Raw genomic sequence first — 22,050 nt, 5'->3', positions numbered from 1 at the left:
AATGCTGGAGTTTTTTGTATGCTCCAAGAGGCAAAACCAAACCCCTGGTTGGTGTAATTTACTTAAATGCCAGATTCTCCTGGGGAAACTGGGCTCTCTTTATAGGCCTTGATTCAAATAACTACTCTGATTCTCAATAGCTTTTTATGAAATTACCATGCAGAGCCTAAATTGGTGCAGCTGAATTAAATAAATATCGGAGTTTAACATTCTTAATCGCAAACCCTCAATTTAACCAACCATTTATTATAATCAAAAAGCAATCAATATGTTGATTGTGGTGACATGCAAAATGGAGGTAGAATTATTAGTAATTACCATATATTTGTGGTTCAATGTGATGGTGAAATAACTGGGAAAAAAATTTTAAAGCACACTACAGTTAAAGGACTGGTTGCTATGTTTTGGAGCAGCATGCTATATTGATTGTAGTCTTTAAATAAGTTGAGTAACATAGTTGCTGTCAAACATATGAATTATTCATGAAGCAAAGTTTGAGAACACTAAAGCAGCCCCTGTTTATGAATATTCGGACGTGTTAATATATAAACGACTGACCCAACACTAACCAATTCTTGCATGAAGAAAAGGTCTCAGAAACAAAATGGAAATCTATTAGGCAAACTCACTTGAGTCACTCGCTTGAAATGTAATCAGTCTGAGAGATGGGGAATAAAGACTGAGCTGCAAGTCAGGGAGGTATCAGGCCAAAGAGGGAGGCATGGGGACCTTCTTCGACTGGGATTGCTTGGTGATGCCAAAGTCTTTTTTGCAGGCTCCAGGGACCCTGGAATTTCTATGATCACATTTGCAAAGGTGTGGCCTTTGGATCCCTTCCTATCAATATTCGGAACTACATAGTAACACACCTCTGGTTTACTTTTTCAGCCCTATTTAGGAAAGGATGAAAGGAAATTTCAGAGCATTCCATATTTGAGAAAATCCTCACAATTTCTTTTCTCTAAATAAATTTCCACAATGGCCTGTAAGCTGTATGTTTTAATATTTACAAGGCCTCATTAGAAACACAATTCTTACTTCCCAAAAACTCTGGACATCACTGAGTCTTGGGACAATATATTTTAGTAAAAGATAAAATAGAGAATTTTTCTGAGGCCAGCAGATTACATAGATAAGAGTCTCATAGGGAGGCAGTGACTGGTGACCAATTAGGATGATGAACTGACCCAGTTTGCCTGGGTCTCAGAGGATTGCCAGGATATGGGAACTTCAGTTTTAAAACATAGAACAGTTTCAGACAAGCTGGGATGAGTTGATAACCCTACCAACCATCTCAGTATGATCAGAGGAATCTCTTAGAATGTGGAACTTCTAGTGGAAAAACTAGGAAAACCCTGGGCAAACAAGGAGGATTGGTCACCCTACCCAAACCACAAAATGAGAGGAACACATTTGGGAGGATCTACTTATGCTGATCAAGTTTCCAAAAGACTACTATACAAAACTAAAAGCTAATCTATTCATTCACAAAAGAGCGCACATTTTCCTCTGAGTGGAATTTTATGTACATCATCTAGGGGACTCCATTCCATTGTCAACACGACTAAATTTTTTGAGTAGAGTCTTCCAAGTGTGTGTGTTACCAGAGCTAATGGAAGAAATGTCTGGAGTATTAATTCCCAAACATCACTGCAGATCAATATCACCACAGGGGCTTGTTACGAAGAGGGACCCTTGGGCCTCACTCAGATTTTCATTTACTAGGGCCTGGGATGGAGCTTGGGAACTGTATTTTTTATAAGCTCCCCCAGAGGATACCAGTCAAGTTTAAGATAAGGAAAATATTTTACCCAGGCCAGGGTAGAACCTGATGAATCACTCTACCCAGCCACTTCTCAGGTGATCACAATTTTCATGTTGCACATGTTGCAATGAGTCCACATACTCTTAGGTTCTGGTATCCGACACTGTCCATTCTCTTCTGACTCTGCCACTTACAAACTAAAACTTGAGCGGTTCAGTTACACTCCCTGACCGTCAGTTTCCTCATCTGTCAAGATGAACCTCATCTATTTGCATACAACCTATTTCATTAAGTTGTTATGAAATTAAGTGATACAATGCATGTGACATGTTTAGAAGCCTGAGAGCCATCAAGTTCAATGAATATTAGCTAAAATTATGATTTAATGTCTCTCCCTGACTGGTGATGAATAGACTGATACATTCTTACTCTTAGCTTTTTTTTTTTTTTTTTTTTTTTACTAAACTCTCTGAAGGCCATCTCTTTCTGTTAATGCACTGTTTCTTCAGTCAGGGTGCCTCACACTATTAGATTTCAGGTTAATATATTTGACTACATGAATGTTTGATTGTCCCACAGCTTTGACCTGTTGATATAATCATGTTTCTGAAGATGAGATCTGAGTCACCCCAGTTCAGCCTGGGTGCTGTCAGCCATGTGCATTCACCCAGTCTGTTGGGGGCAGTCATGGATAGCATGAAGCTATTCCATTCTGGCAAGGTCATCATGAGTCGATGATTGAGAAAAGTGAGTCCTGCAATATAGGGCATGGTTGGGAATGCCTTCTTTTGCAATGTCCATTTAATTCTCTCCTGTTCACTGCTCCAGTAGGTGGGGATTAGATAAATTCCATGTATTTGCATTGGTTTCAGTTAGATTAAGTTTCATTTCCTCATTTTCTCGATCTCAGAAGGATGCTTACCCCTACTCTCCTGAACTAAGTAGAGTCACCATGTGGAAGTGTGGTTACACTAGTATGACTACAGTTGGCTAGTTGTTTACCATGTTATTTCCTTTTTCCTCGTAGACACATAACTAAATATTTATCAGTCTTCCTGTCAGTTAGATATGGTCATAGGACTGAGTTTCAGCCAATGGAATCAGGCAGAAGTATTGTGAGTTATTTCCAGGCTTGTCTGAGGAAACCTCCAATGCAATCCTCTAAATCCTCTTCCCTCACCTGCTGACTTAATGCACTAGATTCAGCGAAGCCACTAGATTGTAAGAGGCTTGGATCCTGGGTCACTGCTCAGAGAAGAGCTGCCCAAGAGAATGCCTGACTAGGAACAGCTAAAATAGACCCTTGCATTTGTGAAAACCAACCTCTAATTGGGATTAGTCACTGAGATGTAGGGTTTTTCTATTTCATCAGTTAGCTTGTCCTGACTTTTCAAGTAAGAAGGAGGAACTACCAATATCCACTGCAGACATTGGGCAAGTAGTATTTTTGGTCTCTGACATTTTAATTTTTAAAAAATAAAATATGCTTTTAAAAATAAAGTTATCCAAGTAAGTCTTTACATATTTATTCTAGAAAAATTAAAAACAAGGAAAAAAATTAAAGTAAGCCATAATTATATGATATATTCTTTTGGACTATGCATATCTAGATACATTTTCCCCATTAAAATTAGCTCATCTGCTTTTGGTATTTTAGAACTTTTTCCATTACTTAACATGTATTTATTTATTTATTTTTAGATAGGGTCTTCCTCTGTTGCCCGGGCTGGAGTGCAGTGGAGTCATCCTTGAACTCCTGGACTCAAGTGATCCTCCTGCCTCAGCCTTCTGAGTAGCTAGGACTACAGGTACACGCCATCATGCCTGACTAATTTTTTTATTTTTATTTTTTGTAGAGATGTGGTTTTGCTGTTTTACCCAGGCTAATCTCAAACTCCTGGCTTCAAGCGATCCTCCCACCTCAGCCTTCCAAACTACTGGGATTGCAAACAGAGCCACTGTGCCTGGCCCTTATTTAACTTTCAATGTAAACATTTTTTTTTCACCTGTATTATCATTTAAAAGGGAGGTACCACCATCTGTCTAATGCAGTTATTGAATATTAAGATTTTTCTCAATTTTTTTCCCACAAAATAAATACTTCTGTGAATTTTTCTGTATATTAATCTTTGCTCCCATCTTTATTCTCTTAAGATAAATTTGTTGAAGTGGAATTGCTAATTTGACATTTTATTCTTTTTTTTTTTTTTTTTTTTTTTTTTGAGATGGACTCTCAGTCTGTCACCAGGCTGGAGTGCAATGGTGTGATCTCGGCTGATTGCAACCTCCACCTCCCAGGTTCAAGCGATTCTCCTGACTCAGCTTGCCAAGTAGCTGGGACTACAGGCATGCGCCACCATGCCCAGCTTATTTTTGTATTTTTAGCAGAGACAGGGTTTCACCATGTTGGCCAGGATGGTCTCAATCTCTTGACCTTGTGATCCGCCCGCCTTGGCCTCCCAAAGTGCTGGGATTACAGGCGTGAGCCACCACGCCCAGCCTGACATTTTATTCTTATAACTAGTGTAGGGTTGCCTGGTTCCATTGGCCTTGACCAAAATCACAGCCATCTTTCAATTTCATAGATTGTAAGTGAGCCTGAGGAAGGATTTGCCAACATTTGTCATTATATGACAGGCAATTGAAGAAGAAAACATCAGGCCTCATAACTTGAATCACAATCTCTTGAAATAAAAGTTTCTTCCAAAGTTTGTTACAACTGAAATTCCTTAGAGAGTGAGATGTAAGCCCATCCTGGGGCAGACAGGCCCATTGCTGTTCTTCCACACTTTTCCATGTCTGAGGTCTGCAGGGCAGGATGTGGTTACACACTGAGATACAGATTAACCTAAGTGTTGCATTTAACATTCTGTAGAAACCATTCTGGTAAAGAGGCCTTTTATTTTCAGGTTTGTGCGAGTAATTATTTGGTTAAAAAAAAACCTCCTAAAAATTTGATTATTTCAACTAACACCAGAGTTAGATAAGAATATGAAGGATCAGGTATGATTTTATTTATTTATGATAAACTCATAGAACGTATACTGCAAGTTTTGCTATTTGGAGGTTTTAAAATCTTAGCAGACTGGTAGATTTCATATATCAGCTATCTTAGGGCAAACAAGGCAGTAGTTTACATTTTTTCATTTTGAAAACAACTCTCTACTCTCGTGGTAGCACCTTTTGGCCTCACTGACATTGTGCAACTGTGCAGGCCACACACAGTTGCAAAGACCCTTATCTTCTATCAGCAATGTGTGTTGTATTGTGATTAGACCAGCCCAACTCATGGATGACTGTGTATGCCATTGTCAAACAATCCTGTTTGGATGGGGCATAACCTTGTGATTAATGCCTTTCAACAGCTGGCTTCAAAGATGAAGAACAGTGCAGATGGTTGAAGGCACAGATAATACAGGTTATGCACTGATTTATTGGCATCTGCAAGAGATATTTTTGGAAATACTGTGGCTAAGAACATGCTGCTCTAAACACTTTTTATCAGGATTACACATAAATATTTTCAAAATAGTTTATATGGTAATGATTTTAGTTTAAGCCATTTGGATGGAGGGATAGAGTCTGAAGACAGGTCATTTAAGTACTTCATGGGGCCCAGTTTCATAAAGTGCTTTTAGTATCAGAAGGGTAACAAAATGACTGGGTCATTTGTTTGATAAAGTTGCACTCCCTCCACATCAGACTTCCCTTCCAGTTATGCAACTACCAAAGCACAGTGTGAGAAGATGATTATGCCTCATCAATGTCTTCTCTAGGAGGTCTCTTCATGGCCACATAGAAAGTATTACTCTTGGTAGGAAAGATATATAATTTGTTTGTTCATTTAAAACAGCAATCTACTTTCTAACAGCTGAAAGCCAAATCAATTTATTTATATATCTTCGGAGTGTGATGTATTACAAAGAACTTACCTGCAAGGTTTTTATTTTGGACTTTGCCCAATGAAAATGATGTCACTATTTCCATGCTGAATTATTTATTGGATCTTGACAATAGTAACAGGCAGCTTTTCCCCTAAAATTGGTAGCCGTGTTCATTACACTTTGCTGTTACTGCGTGAAAAGATGTTCTAATAGTCCTGAGGGTCTTCATCGTTGGGATTGTATGTTTCAAAACAGAATCTCATCTCAATCCTTCCTGATTGATGAACATCTTTCTCAGAATCTTTGAAGCACCTGGCACTGAGCTGGCACTCAGTGTTGGTTCCTTTTCTCCTGCTAAGGAGATGATACCTCTATGATAAACCATGCACATCTAGTACACTTTGTAAGCTTGGGGTTGTGAGACAAGGCTTAGTAGGCTGTAGGGCTTTTCAGAATGGGGATGGCAGAAACCCAATGGGACAGATTCATGGCCCATACCCCCTAACAGTGTGATTTTAGCATGTTTTTTCTTTTCCTTTCTATCGGATTGTGTGACCAATTTCCTAAAATTGCTGTTTTGCCCTTTGTAGAAAACAATTATTTTTACTGATTAATTTATAATTTTACGCCAACCACTCTAGCACTGGAATGCCTGGATCATGTGAGATTCTACAAATCTCCCTATGTGATCCTGGTATTTGCTTCCCTCCATCACTTGAGAATTTGATATTCACCCAGAAGAGGTCAGTCACAACAGGCCATTGGCAAACATTTTCCTCCCATAGATTGGTGTATTAGTCCCTTCTCATGCTGCTATGAAGAACTACCCAAGACTGGGTAATTTATAAAGAAAAGAGGTTTAATTGACACCCAGTTCTACATGGCTGGGGAGCCCTCAGGAAACTTACAATCGTGGTGGAAGGCATCTCTTCACAGGGCGAGAGGAGAGAGAATGAGTGCAAGCAGGGGAAATGCCAGACGCTTATAAAACCATCAAGTCTTGTAAGAGTCACTCATTCTCACGAGAACAGCATGGGGGAAACCACCCCCATGATCCAATTACCTCCACCTGGTCCCACCCTTGACACGTGGGGATTATTACAATTCAAGGTGAGATCTGGGTGGAGACACAGAGCCAAACCATATCAATTGGCTAGATGAAATCAAGCTGGAGGTCACCCAATTCTGTATAGCCACAGTTTTGCAACTCCACTGTACAGTGCATATAAAGTATTATTTTAGCCAATTCTGGGTCCCTAGTCTTTCAGAGGCACAGGATTTCATCTGCATTAATGCATTAGTTATATACTCTGTGAGTGACTCTTTCGTAGTGTCAGAGAGTAAACATTGAGACTTCTCAGAGAAAGGGCTGGTTGAGTGAAACATCCTTTGACTTGGGACCTTCTTACTCCATACCCTGTGGTTGGAGGGGGGAAGGGGAGGGTTAAACATGACAGCTGTCAGCTGTGAGGGTGCAGCTGCTATACAAGTCTGTTACCATTCTAGGGATGAGGGCTTCTGAGGCACTTTGGGGATTGTGACTCCTCCTTAGTTTGTCACCAATTCCTCTGTAAGAGCCAGAGTAATACTCTGTATACCTATTACACCCATCAATCCTTTGGCTCTTCCTCTTTCATACACACACATGCACACACTCATTATACCTGTGAACTGATGATGGTACATTGTCATTTTACTATCCTCATTGTTGATTTATCTTTCAGTCCATTGATTCTTTGATCATTCACTGATTTGTTCATTCAGCCATTCGTTACTTATTCATTCCTTTGTAGACTGGTGCTGAAAAGATTTATACACAACAGTGACTCAATCCTAACACAAGATGCCTTGGACAGCCTCCTGTATTTTCTCTCTATGCCACTTCATTTTCAGTGTCTGTGTTACGCCGTTCTTGCATTACTATAAAGAAATATCTGAGACTGGATGATTTATAAGAAAAGAGGTTTAATTGGCTCCTGGTTCTGAAGGCTGTACAGGAAGTATAACAGCATCTGCTTCTGGGGAGCTGTCAGGGAACTTTTATTCATGGCAAAAGGTGAAGCAGGAGCAGGCACTTGGCATGGCACAAGCAGGAGCAAGAAAGAGAGAGTGTGTTGCGGGGGAAGTTCCACACACTTTTAAATGACCGTATCTCCCAAGAACTCACCATCGTGAAGACAGCACCAAGCCATGGGGGATCCACCTCCATGATGCAAACACCTTTCACCAGGCCGGACTTCCAGCATTGGGGATTACAACTCAACATGAGATTTGGGTGGGGACAAATATCTAAACTACATTTGTGTCCTTCCATTTGAGACCTCTATAAGAGCTGATTCCTTCCCTCCCATATTCTTTTCCTCCCGTCCTCCCTCCCACTTTGATGTCCCTGATGGGCTTGTTCAAGGAGACTTCACCAGCATAGGAGGTCAAGGCTGGCTGCCTGGAAAGACCTCTGTGGGTGGGTGACAGGTGCCAGGTGGTACCAAGGAGCAAAAGAAGTTGACTAAAGATCAGTTGCTAAGAATACTATAAATATTTAGAATCTCAACCCAGAGAGTTTTCCAAATTTTCCTTTACCTCTCTAATAGTAGCTCTGTGATACCACCTATGAGGTTACTCCAGGAGCAGCATATGGGAAGAGAATGTTCCAGAGCCCAAGGATTACAGCATGCCTGGTACTGTGATCACTCTGGGGCCACAGAAACAATCAAGGATCCCACGGTCCACTGACCAGCACACTGACCATTGTTAGTCCACTGCCTTTTTTGTCCTGTCTGGAGCCTAGTTCTTTATTTTCCTTTTCCCACAGAACAGTCTTTCGGTTCCAGTTCAGCTACAGCCAACTCTCATAGAGATCCTTAAGCAAAGCCTACTTTGTTTTTGAAGTCTCAGTCTTCTTTCCCATGTCCCATTTCTTGCATCTGGGCTTCGGTCTTTGAGCCTATCCCCATTATTAACCTGGAAGGTATCCCCATATCCTCTTAGAACAGGAGCCTGCCTTTGTCTTGCCAGTCTCGCTCCCAGGGACCAGACCCACAACTATTGATACAGGAGTGCTGGGAAGGGAAGAGCGTGGTCCCTTTAAATGATACAGAACCGGGGAAGGGAAGTGCTGGGTAGAGGACTGCGTGGTCCCTGGGTAGGGCTCTACCCCCATGGACATAGATGAGGTCAGGCCCTTCTGCCTTTGGGCCCAAATGTTGCATTTTCCAAGACCGCCCTGGCTCACCACACCCCCACCATGGGCTAATAAAAACCTGAGACCCTAGCAAGGCAGAGACAGAAGCTGCTGGATGGCAAGAGGAACACATCAGTGGAAGAAAACACAAAAGGCTGGACGGCAAAAGGACGTCGGGACATCAAAGGGAGCACGCTAGCGGAAGAGCACACCGACAGAGGCCTGCAGGCCATCAACCGGCAGAACGACACGGAGTTTGGCCGGGACAGACAGAGGAGAGCCTGGGCTGCCGAGCAGCTGGATTCCAGGGGAAAACCACCTCCCTTCTGGCTCCCCCATCTGCTGAGAGCTACTTCCACTCAATAAAACCTTGCACTCATTCTCCAAGCCCAGGTGTGATCTGATTCTTCGGTACACCAAGGCAACAACCCGGGATACAGAAAGCCCTCTGTCCTTGTGACAAGATGGAGGGTCTAACTGAGCTGGTTAATACAAGCCACCTATAGACAGCAGAATTAAAGAGCAAAGCAAAACTAAAAGTGCACCCTGTAACACATGCCCACTGGGGCTTCAGGAGCAGTAAGCATGCCCCACAGACGCCCTGTCTGTATGCTCCCCTAGAGGTTTGAGCAGTGGGGCCCTGAAGAAGTGAGCCACACCCCCATCACATGCGCTGCGAGGGAGATAAGGGAACTTCAAGGGAACTTTTCCTGTTCCACTATCTCCACTCTTTTTTTTTGAGACGGAGTCTTGCTCTGTCGCTCAGGCTGGAGTGCAGTGGTGTGATCTCAGCTCACTCCACCTCCTGGGCTCAAGCAATTCTCCTGACTCAGCCTCCCAAGTAACTGGGATTACAGGTGCACACCACCACACCCGGCTAATTTTTGTATTTCTAGTAGAGACAGCATTTCACCATGTTGGCCAGGCTGGTCCTGAACTCCTGACCTCAAGTGATTCTCCCACCTCGGCCTCCCAAAGTGCTAGGATTACAGGCGTGAGCCACCATGCCAGGCCACTATCTCCACTCTTAATAGACTTCTGGCTTGGCGACCTGGACTCCTAAGGGTGATCCACCTCGAATGCCCCATTCCTGTGCTACATACACATCCTGGAACTCTTTTTCTCTCCTCAACTGCTTACTCAGACCTTCTGCAATTGCACTTGCCCTGTACCATGCACCAAACCAGAATTAATTGTAGCTGCAGCTGCATGGTTCCTTCTCTCTCCCTTGAGTTTTACCTCTGGGGACAGAGACACTTCCAAGTCTTGGTGTCTCCTCCCCTTCTGTCCATCTGTAAGTATCTCTAAGCCTGGCTGAATCCCAGAGTGGCACAGGCAACAGTCATGTGTGAATTAAAAGTTATGGCATTTGCTGTTCTGTAATTCATGCCACAGAAGGAAGAGCCAAAACTTGAATGAGCAGAGAAATTTCAGGGCCACATGCAAATTCTCTCCAAGTGCAACGTTTTAAAAAGGAAAAGACAAAATATTGTCTAGTTTTACTATTTCCCAATTTTACCTTCTGGAACGTGACTATTAAAATATCCTTAAGGCGTATGCTCTGCAGCTCCCCTTTATGCCAGACTTCCTTATAATGTGATTATTCCGTATTATTATTATTTAAATCATTTTTATGTGTCTTCAAAGGACCCGCTTAGTAGCAGGATATCATAGTGAAAAGAGCACAGGGTTGGGTCGTGGTCTTTGTCTCTCTAAAATGTACTAGCTATTTAAACCATGCAAAACACTAACCTTTGCAGGTTGCAGTTTTCCCATCTGGGATGTAGGAATAGCATTTCTCTACCTGTCTTGTAAGGTTGTGAAGATCAAAAGATAAAGCCTTTTATGAACTTTAAGCATTACGCAAATGTCAGATATGGCTGTTAGAGTACAATAGTGTTAAAGATATATAAAGTTGCTTTCTTCAACATTTTTCTTCATCACCAAAGATGTTTATTTATTTTTAAACCTTCCTGAAAATCACCCTTATATTATGATTTTATTACAAACCAGTTTGTGGAATAGGTTGAAAAGCATTATTGTTTTCATTCTATGGATGAGAAAACAGAGAGTTAAGAAAAGGCAAATATGGGATTTTACCTAAGATACTGCTGATAAACAGTAGAACAAAGGTGAGAAGCAAGTTCTGCTTCTTCTGCTTCCCTGGGCTAGGCTTCTTTTGTTCTCTTCACTTGGGGTCTCTCTCTAACCAGCTCTAACCCCCATTTAGAGGTGTCTAATCATCTCTGTGCCAGGGGTGAAGCTGAAGCAAGCACTTGGGTGCCAGGCAGGAGAGTGAGGACCTGAAGACTAGTGGATGGGTGGAGGGCCAGGCTGTGCAGAGCCGTGGGCCCAGGGGAATTGCAGGGTGGGAGCAAAGTTCAGGGATCAAGCCAGAGATCAGTTATCAAAAGAATTTAAAAATTCTGAGTGGGTAAATATGGCAGGCAAGAACAGTATAAACAGATCAGGATCCAGCCAATTGCAGTTGACCAGCTGTAACACATGGGAGCCAGGCTCAGGCACAGAGTGGTCTGGATCAATTTTCTGAGAAGGGTTCGTTTGCACCCCTTTGAAGTTCTGGGCCTCACTCTGCAGATGTGCCAGACTTGTCTTAGAGGCCTTCTACTCATTTAGTCAGTGTGCATGCATGCATCAACACAGACATTAAGGTTTTATTATGAACCATGAGATGCATTAGGTGCAAGAGATGCAATTATGAATAGGCACATATAAGGTTCATGTTCAGAAGCACTTAGATTAGTGCAGGGTTTTCAACCTGGGCACTAGTGACATTCTGATGAGGGGACTGTCCTGAATACTGTTAGATGTTTAGGATAGGCCTCTACCCACTAGATACTACTTCCACCTCTCCAGTTGTGACAACCAAAAATGTCTCCAGGCATTGCCAAATGTCCCCAAGGTGTGGGGGCACAGGAAAGGACAGATGACATCAATGTTAGGAATCACTGGTCTAGTGTTAATAATGATTAACAATTACTAAGCATTTACTAAGTGCCAGGCACAGAGTTTGACACAACCAGCCAAAAGGTTGATGATGGAAACTCTTAGCAGGCCCTACTTAAACATTTCACCAGATTCTCCAAGGCTCTCCATTTCCTCCACAACCCTAGCGACCAACTCCAAGGGCGTGTGGATCATTTGCAGCCAAGTGCTCTGGTTTGCCTGGGTGCTTCTGCTCAACATAACACATGTTGAGTATGTTGAGTCATATGCTTAAGAGAAAAAATTGTGTTTGTTACCAAACCCTTTGAGCCTATTGTACTTGTATAGTTGTACAATTTAAGAGTACATAAACTGATTAAACATAAGCGTAAAGAGTTGTTCCTAAGAAAATTAAGTGCAATGCTTTGGAAAGATATAATTAAAAAAACTTTCTGTTCAATTAAATCTGAATAAGAACAACTGTAAAAGGCAGAAAAAATTATAAAAATCTAGAAGATGTAAGGTCTTGCTACACTTTATCATTATTTTTAGAGATGGGGTCTCACTCTGTCACCCAGGCTGGAGTGCAGTGACATGATCATAGCTTACTGCAGCCTCAACCTCCTGAGCTCAAGCAGTCCTCCCACCTCAGCCTCCTGAGTAACCGGAACTACGGGCATGCACCATCCTGTGCAGCTTTGTTACACTTTAATGAATACCAAACAGGACAGGCATGGTGGTGCATGCCTATTGTAGTAGTCCCAGCTACTCAGGAGGCAGAAGCAGGAGGATCGCTTGAGCCTGGGAGTTTAAAACCAGCCTGAGCAACTTCATCTCTAAAACAATAGAAAATTAAAAAATAAAGAATCCCAAACTGAAAATTGTCACCAATGTACTATTAATCTAAATTAAGTAAGAGACAAATTGTGAAGTACAGTAAGCGGATCATTCTCAAAAAAAAGACCTAAGCCCTACATAAACATGTATAAATAAGTGAACATTTTTGTATGTTTTAAGTTGAAAGAAAATGTTTAACATATGTAGGGTATTTAATGATTATTTTTATCAGCCAACTACCTGTCTTCCCAGTTGCTTTAGATGAGTAGGATTCTCTCATATTGTCCTTGTTTTTGAGATGAAAAGTTGAAAGAGAGGGAACTTACTGAGGGCTTACTGGAGATGGTGCAGGCCTCAGGCTATTTGAACAATTGAATCCAAAACATGGATATCAGACCAAATTGCTTAATTTATATCAACAATATGAATGACAAAATTAAAGAAGAAGGATTGAAGAGATTCCCACACGCTCTGTTTTCTCAGTTTGGCCATGTGGTAAGTATTGTGGCTCTAAAGACCATGAAGATGGGTGCGGGACACTGGGCTCATCCACAAATGCCTTGAGACAGTTACAAGGATTTCCATTGTATGATAAACCAATGCAAATCCAGTAGGCAAAAACAGATTCTGATATAATTTCTAAGATGTGTGACACTTTTTCTGACAAAAGAAAAGAAAAAAGCCCAAACTGTGGAACAGATAGCAACAACCGCAAACAGAAAGCCTGGTCAGGAAACACTGAATTCAGCTGATACCCAAATCCTCAGGTTCTTACTACCCTCCGAATTCTGTTTTATTTTTAAGTTAATTTACCAGCAGAGACTCGTGAGATGATGTTATCTGTGCTATTTAATCGGTTCCCTGGTTTCAAGAAAGTACGTTTTGTACCTGGGAAGCATGGTATTGCTCTGGTTGAATTTGAAAATGGTAAGTAGGCTGGAGCTCTCAGGGCAGCTTTACAAGGATTTAAGGTCACTTTGTCCCACGCCATGAAAATCACCTGTGTCAAGAAGTAATACTTGGGATAGTCATCATTAAAGGACTCAATATTATTTATAGTGTTTGTTTTAGTAACATTTGGTCAGGTCATTCTAATAGTTAGGGATGGGGAAAGTCAAAGTGAAAAAAAACAGGGAAGTGACTGAACTAGGTAACATCAAGGACACGGTGAGCCAGGAATGAAGTCTGGGTGTGCCTGGCCATGGTTCAAGCTCTGGACCACAATGTGATGCACAAACAACCCGCTCCCCCGCCGCAATGATGCTGTCAATTACGCTAAAACTAAGAATTTCTGTTCAAAGCCATCATGAACAAAGTTATTAGATGGCAAATTGGGAGATGCCTGCAATGTCTAAAAACAACAAGGGATCATACAAAATTGAAAAAGAAGAATTGAAGAGATTCCCCCACACCCCGTTTTCTCAGTTTGGCCATGTGGTAGATACTGTGGCTCTTGTATGTAGAATATACAAAGAATTCCTAAAACTGAAAAGAAAGAGAAAGGAATGCAAACATAAAAATGACTAAAGTGGGCAAAGTAGGCAATTCCTTTGACAGAAAAGGAATCCCTAAAGACTAATATGTATAAGAAGTGATCAATAATTTTAGTAATCAAAGAAAAGGAATTTGAAACAGCTAAGAGGCACTCTATGCCTCTTAGGTGGGCATAAATTAGCAGCATAATGCCATGAATAGGCACAGATGCAAAGACGTGGGAACCCCATGCACTGCTGGTGAGAATCCAGGTGGGAGCAGCCACTCCAGGGGCAACCTGGCCCCACCCTATGACCCAGCAATTTCCCTCCTAGGTGTACATCCCCCAGAAACCGTTATACATCCTCCTCAGGGGATATGTACAAAGATGTTTGGTATAGCACTAGGGTTAGCATGGGTCGTCTAAGAAATAGATGCCAAGATGCAGATTAAACCAATTAAACGTACAAAGATTTTCTTAGACGGAATACCTGTGAGAGAAAATAGGGATGGATGGGAGAACTCATACCACAGTGAAGTCTGACCCCAAGTGAAGGAGAGGGAAGGAAGGTTGGTGGAAGCATCCTAAGAACCTGGTGGAAGGTTCTCCAAATCCACCAGGAAGTCCTCAAGCCCTAATCAGCCATGGGAGGAGTCCCCTGTCTCCCAGGAATGAGCCTGTCTTAGTCACCTGCTCTGCTCAGTCACTGGCTAGGAGCAGCCCACAGGAAGCAAGGCCTCAGGTGAAACCCAGAGATAGATTTCAGAGCTCAGAGCTAAGACTTAGGTCAATTACACTCCTGCAATTGGAGGTCTGTGAGGCATAGTCTCATGGGTTCCACATGTTATTCGGAGTACAGGGACAGGAAGGCAACGTGTATGCCAATCACAGGGATTGTGGATAGGTAATGTGCAATAGACACCACCAGTGAGCAGTTAGAAGCAAAGAAGTAGATGTATACCTAACAGCACAGATGGGTCTTTAAAACAAAGTATAGAGTGAAAAAGGAAGAAACAGAATGGGATATCCAATATAATAATATTTCCTAAATGTGAGATACATATACATGCATGCAAAATGGTTAACACTCAATATTCAAGCCTACACATGTAAACCAAAAGATTCCCACTATGCCGATTAGAATGGTTGCTAAGGTGGAATATGGAGGTAAACAGGACTAAATAAAGGAATATACAAAAAAAAAAGACTTGAACTGAGCCTGAGTAACTCAATCTCTTGACTCTGAGGGTCTAAATAAACAAATCAACATAGTGCTCACCTCATGCTTCCCCCATAGTCATGACACAGGAGCAGCCTCTCTGGAATTCTTTAATAGCAGCAACTATAAAAGCAGTCTTCTGTTGTAAAAACAGCAGCTCTTTGCACGGTAGATGTCTACAATATCCCTGCCCCTTTAAATTCAGCTGGCCCTATCAGTGCCTCACTTTGTGCAGCGCAGACCCAGCACAGCAGCAGCACAAAACAGCTAGCCTAGGAACCGCCTCAAGCTGCCTGCCTGCCTGCTCTCTCTGTCAACTTCTGCCTTCCAGCTAACGTCTGGGTTCTCCATTCCTGCCCCGGTCCCCTAGTTCTATTGTTTGTTTTCGTAATGGCTTTATTGAAATATAATTCACATGCCATACAATTCACACATTTAAAGTGTGCAATTCAATAGCTTTTCCTATAATTGGGTAGCCACTATTTCATAATATTTTCATCACCTTCAAAAGAAACATTGTACTCCTTATCCATCAACCCCTAGTCCCTCCATGCCTCCCCCACCCCCCAGTTCCAGGCAATCACTAATCTACTTTTTGTCTCTATAGATTTGCCTATTCTGGACATTTCATAGAAATGGAATCATACAATAAGTGGTTCTTTGTGACAGGCTTCTTTCATGTAGCCTAATGTTTTTGAGATTTATCTATCTTGTAACATGTATCCTTTTTAGGGTTGAATATTCCATTATAACGATGTATCTTTTTCTCTTTTTTAAAGAAAAGGTCTCACTGTTACCCAGGCTGGAGTGTAGTGATGTAACCGTGGCTCACTGTAGCCTCAACCTCTCAACCTCCCAGGCTCAAGCAATCCTCCCACCTCAGCCTCTTTAGTAGCTGGGACTACAGGTGTGTGCCACCACTCTTAGCTAATTTTTAAATTTTTTTTGAAGAAACGGGTCTCACTGTATTGCCAAGGCTGGTCACAAACTCCTGGATTCAAGCAATCCTCCTTCCCAAAGTGCTGGGATTTACAGGTGTGAGCTACCAGGTCCATACTTTCTTCATCCATTCTTTAGTTGATGGACATTTGGGTTGTTACCACTTTTTGGTGACTATGAATAATGCTGCTATGAAATTTGTGTATATGTTTTTGTGTAGACATATGTTTTCATTTATCTTGGGTGTATAACAAGGAGTGGAATTGCCGGGTTGTATACTAACTCTACTTTTAACCTTTTGAGAAACTATCAGACTGTTTTCCAAAGCAGCTGGATCATTTTGCATTCCCACCAGCAGTGCATGAGGGTTCCAATTATTTCATATCTTCACCTACTCTTGTTATCATCTGTCCTTTTGATTAGGATCCTTTGGTTTTTGCCATTGGCTCCCAGCTCCTCCTGAACTCGCTGACCTTAGCTGACCTGCACGCACTTGGCATCTTCCTTGGCTTCAGTGCTCTTCAGGATTCCCTGTGAAAGGCATCTTTCACTACACTGGCAGAATTAGCCCTTGGCTTCCTCCACTAGAAAATAGGGGTTGCAGATAATGGGGTTCTCAGATTCTGCCCCCAAAATAAAAGAATAGAGAAAGAGGAAAGCTTAATGTAGCTGACAGCTACCTTAGCCCTTGTGGTAGTTAATTTTATATATCAACTTGACAGAAGGGGTGCACAGTTAGGACGTAAAACATTATTTTTGGGTGTATCTATAAGGAGTTTCCAGAAGAGATTGGCATTTGGGTCTGTAGGCTGAGTAAAGGTTCACCCTTTCCAACGTGGGCAGCCATCATCCAACCCACTGAGGGCCAAATGGAACAAAAAGGCAGAGAAAGGGTGAATTATCTCTCTCTTCTGCAGCTGGAACATCTATCTTCTACTGCCTGCAAACATTGTAGCTCCTGGTTCTCAGGTCTTTGTACTTGGACTGAGTTGCATCACTGGCTTTTCTGTATCTCCAGCTCCCAGACAGCAGATCATGGGACTTTTTGACCTCCCTAATTGCATAAGCCAATTCCCATAATAAATCTCATCTTTATCTCTATTATCTATCTATCTATCTATCTATCTATCTATCTATCTATCTATCATCTATCATCTCCTCTTGGTTCTATTTTTATGGAGAATTCTGATTAATAGAGCCCTTTTCTTTTTCTTCTGCTCTAGTTGCTAGAATGACAAGCTGAGGAATCCAGGAGAGTCTGACCTAGGGACAGCAGCAATTCTGGAATTCCAACCTGAAAGTGACAAGAATGACAGCACAACCACAGCAATTACCAATTTAGAGGTAGGCTCTCATTTCCTTAAATCTTTTCGTTTTCTGCAAATGCAAAAATAAGAGAAAGAAGGGTCAGCATTGGGCATGGTAATAATGAATAAATCTCTGTTTTTACTGACAGTAATTTACAGTTGATAATGTTAATTGTTTCTGTTATCAACGACATCATTTTTATGGCTGTTTATTTAGTAACAACTCTTGGCAGTTGTACCATTTCTGTGTTTCAGGCTGAAGGGTCCTAGTTCAGGGTGAGACAGATTTGAAGATTATCATGGCTAAAGGAGAAATGCTGTCATCGCAGAGGAAAAAAAAATACCAGAAAAGTTATGGATTGTGTTTCTTTTTAACCCTCCATTTTGAGGCTGGGAGGCTGGGATCATTTAAGTAGAGGTTTATTCCTTTGGACAATTGACTTGAGTTTGGATTTCTCAAGTGTATTTGAATTTCACCCCAGGAAAGCAGGCTCAGTGAGGATGTTTTCCTAAGTAATGATTCTATGCATGACAGAGCCTTTACTTAACAATCATTTAAACTTGGGAATAGATTAAATCCATTAACTAGGCCAGTGTTTTCCCCCTTACTGTGGTCATTAACCAAATTGCTAGCTTTAGTTGGAACTCAGATAACTATTTAAAGATACCCTAGACCTATTGTTTTAGCATTTTTATTTCAACGGACATTACTAGAAGACTAATTTTCAATATTTAGTTTTACAGACTTCAAGTATAAACTTTCAAAGCATAAATTCTTTTTATTTTTATTTTTTTATTTTTAGACAGGGTCTCACTCTGTTGCCCAGGCTGGAGTGCAGTGGCATGATCGCAGTTCACTGCAACCTCTGCCTCCTGGGTTCAAGTAATTCTCCTGCCTCAGCCTCCCGAGTAGTTGGGATTACAGGTGTGTGCCACCATGCCTGTTTTTTTTTTTTTTTTGGATTTTTAGTAGAAATAGGGTGTTGCTATGTTGACCATGCTGGTCTCGAATGCCTACCCTCAAGTGATCCACCCGCCTCGGCCTCCCAAAGTGCTGGGATTACAGGCATGAGCTACCGCATTTGGCCTCAAAACATAAATTCTTTCTTTTTTTTTTTTTTTTTTTTAGATGGAGTCTTTTTCTGTCGCCCAGGCTGGAGTGCAGTGGCATGATCTTGGCTCACTGCAACCTCCACTTCCCAGGCCCAAGCGATTCTCCGGCCTCAGCCTCCCAAGTAGCTGGGATTACAGGCACCCACTACTACGCCTGGCTAATTTTTGTATTTTTAGTAGAGATGGGGTTTCACTATGTTGGCCAGGCTGGTCTCAAACTCCTAACCTCAAGTGATCCACCCGACTTGGCCTCCCAAAGTGTTGGAATTACAGGCATGAGCCATCACGCCTGGCCTCAAAACAGGAATTCTCTTGTTAAGTGTAATTCATATACATTTAAGTGCCCCTGTTTTAAGGGTACTGATTAATGAGTTATGCATTTGTGTAACTACTATCATAATCAAGATATAAAACATATATATTACCCTTTTCTTCTACCTTTTGCTGTCAATTCCTACCTATTTTCTGGCCCCATGAAGCCACTAATATACTTTTGTTACTAGATTAGTTTTGTCATTTTAAGAATTTAATATAAATGGAACCAGACGTTTTTGAAGTTCATCCATGTTGTTGCATGTATCAGTTTTTTTTCCTTTTTATTACTCAATATTATCTCATTGCATCCATATACCACAAGGATAAAGTTTACCCCAGGAATGAAAGCTTGGTTTAATGTTGAAAATCAATAATTATAATTCACTATATGACCAGAATACAGGTTAAAAAGCATATAATCATCACAATATATTTAGAAGAGTTACTTGACAAAATTTAGCACCCATTAATGATGAATACTGTCAGCAAACTAGTAATAGAAGGGAGTGTTCTCAATATGACAAGGGCTTCTACAGAAGATATGATACTTAATAGTTGCATTGGTTATCAATTGCTATGTAACAAATTACCCCAAAATTTAGCAGCTTAAACAATAAGTACTCATCATCTCACAATTTCTGGGGATTAGGAATTTGAGAGCCACTTAACTGGGTGAGTCTCACTGAAGTTCTCTCATGAGGTTGCAATCAAAATGTCAGCTAGGGCCACAGTCATCTGAAGGCATGAGTGGGGCTGGAAGATTTACTTCCGAGATTGCTCATTCACATAGCTGTTGGAGGAAGGCCTCAGTTCCTTAATTGTTATTTGTAGGAAGCCTCTTGTCCTTACCATATAGATCTTTTCATAAGGTTTCTCGAGTGTCCTCATGGCTTGGCACACAGCTTCCCCCAGAATAAGTGATCCGAAAGAAAGAAAAAGCAAGGAGGAAGCCACAGTGCCTTTTATCATCTAGTCTTTGGAGATCATATACCATCATTTCCACTAGAGTATATTCGTTAGAAGCAAGCCACTAACTGCAGCCCGCATTCAAGAAGAGGGGAATTAGGCTCCACTTTTTGAGGGAGGAATATTAGAGAAATTATGCATGTATTTCAAAACTACCACAATGTGAAAGATGGAATGTGTTTCCCCAGGAAGATCAGAACAAAGAAGGCTCTATAGATTCAGCACAGTCTAAATCAAAATACCCACAAACATTTTATAGAAACTGATGAGCTGATTCACCTAAAATTCATATGGAAATAATGAAGATGTTAAAAAGCCAAAATAATTTTGAAAAAGAACAAAGTTGAAGGGTTTTTGCCACTTGATCTCAAGGTTTATTGTAAATCTACAGTCATCAAGACAGTGTGGAATTGTTTTATGGACAGACATATAGAGTCATAAAACAAAATAAGGATTCCCCAAATATATGTATATAATATAAAATTAAAAATATGATAATAAAATTTATATATTATTTTTGACAAAGGCATCGAGTTAATGGAGAAAGTTTTTCAACAAATGGTGCTGGAACAACTGTATGTTTATATGGAAAAAATGGAACTTGACCCTTAACTAATACTATATATAAAAATTATTAATAATTCAAAATAGATCATAGACCTAAATGGTAAAGTTAAAACTGTAACATATCTTTTTAAATTTAACTTTATTTTATTTATGTATGTATTGTAGAGATGGGAATCTCGCTATGTTACCTAGGCTGATCTCAAATTCCTGGGTTCAAGCAATCCTCCTGCCTCGGCCTCTCAATGTGCTAGGACTACAGGTGTGAGCCAACATCCCCGGCCAAAACTATAGCATATCTTAAAAAAGATTGTATTAGCCAGGGTTCTTCAGAGAAACAGAACCAATAGGAGAGATATAGATACAGATATAAGAAGCAATTTATTATGAGAATGGGCTCACATGATTACAGAGACTGAGAAGTCCCATGATAGACCATCTGCAAGCTGGAGAACCAGGGAAGCAGGTGGCTTAGTCCCTGTCTAAAGGCTTTAGAACCTGGGGAACCAATGGTGTAACTCTTGGTTTCAGGCCAAAGGCCTGAGAACCTGGGGGCTGCTTGATACAAGTCACTAAGTCCAAAAGTCAGAGAATCTGGAGTTCTGATGTCCAAGAGCAGAAGCAGATGGATATCTTAGCTTCAGAAGAGGGAGTGAATTCATTTTTTCCTCTGCCTTTTTGTTCTATATTTGCCCTCAACCAATTGAATAATGCCTGCCCATCCTCAAATTGGGTGAGGGTGATCTTCCTTGTTCAGTCCACTGATTCAAATGACAATCTCTTCCAGAAACACCCTCACAGAGTTACCCAGAAATAATGCCTTACTAGCTATCTGGGCATCCCTTAATCCAGTCAACTTGACACCTAAAATTAACCATCACAAAGATGTAGGATAAAAATCTTTGAAAAATTGGATTAAGAAAAAATTATTATACATAGGCTACAAAAAGAAACCTTAAAAGAAAAAACACTGATACATTGAACTTCATGAAAGTTAAAATATTTTTTTCTTTAAGTATTACTTTAACTGAATAACAGAGCTTAGAGTAGAGAAGGCTGTGTGTAATCCAGGTATTAAGGTTCTGATTGATGAAGGGCACTGGCCAGGCAGTCATTAAGTGATAGTGATCAGGAATCGAGGCAGGATGAGAGAATGCTAGGATTCTTAGCAGATGAAGCATCCTGACTTAGTATCAAAGGAGCAAGACACAGCCCCTTCCTCCTGACCCTGAGGCTTGTGCAGTCTGAAAGGATGGTGTCCCAGGGCATCAAGGAGAAGAGGCAGATTTCAGTTAAGCCAGGCGGTGGAGGAAAATGCCCAGGGAAGAAGTCCAAGATGTAAGGGGCATATTGATCACAGAGTGTCCTTGTTTGGGCGACTATAGCAAAAAGACCATGGATTGGGTAGCTTTAAAAACAAACATTTATTTCTTATAGTTCTAGAGTCTAGGAAGTCCAAGATCAAGCCACTGGCAGATCCAGTGTTTGGTGAGGGCCCTTTTCCTGGTTCATAGATGGCCATCTTCTCCCTGTGTCCTCA

At 41.1% G+C, this 22,050-nt stretch overlaps 1 pseudogene, besides 1 other annotated feature; it reads left to right on the top strand.

Moving 5' to 3' along the window:
- LOC100130001 (small nuclear ribonucleoprotein polypeptide B2 pseudogene) lies at positions 12,946 to 13,738 on the top strand (annotated as a pseudogene).
- Positions 20,841 to 21,010: an enhancer, noted in NCBI's record as "experimental_86248 CRE fragment used in MPRA reporter constructs". NCBI's record gives its function as "activates a minimal promoter by MPRAs in K562 erythroleukemia cells, with activity observed for the non-introgressed 5:56264124 variant allele {active_cell/tissue: K562}" and the evidence as "EXISTENCE:reporter gene assay evidence [ECO:0000049][PMID:34662402]".

The sequence above is a fragment of the Homo sapiens genome, chromosome 5 (assembly GCF_000001405.40).
Source record: "Homo sapiens chromosome 5, GRCh38.p14 Primary Assembly".
NCBI classification, from domain to species: Eukaryota; Metazoa; Chordata; class Mammalia; order Primates; family Hominidae; genus Homo; species Homo sapiens.
Note: the sequence above shows the minus strand (reverse complement) of the source record. Positions and strands in the feature narration are given on the sequence as shown.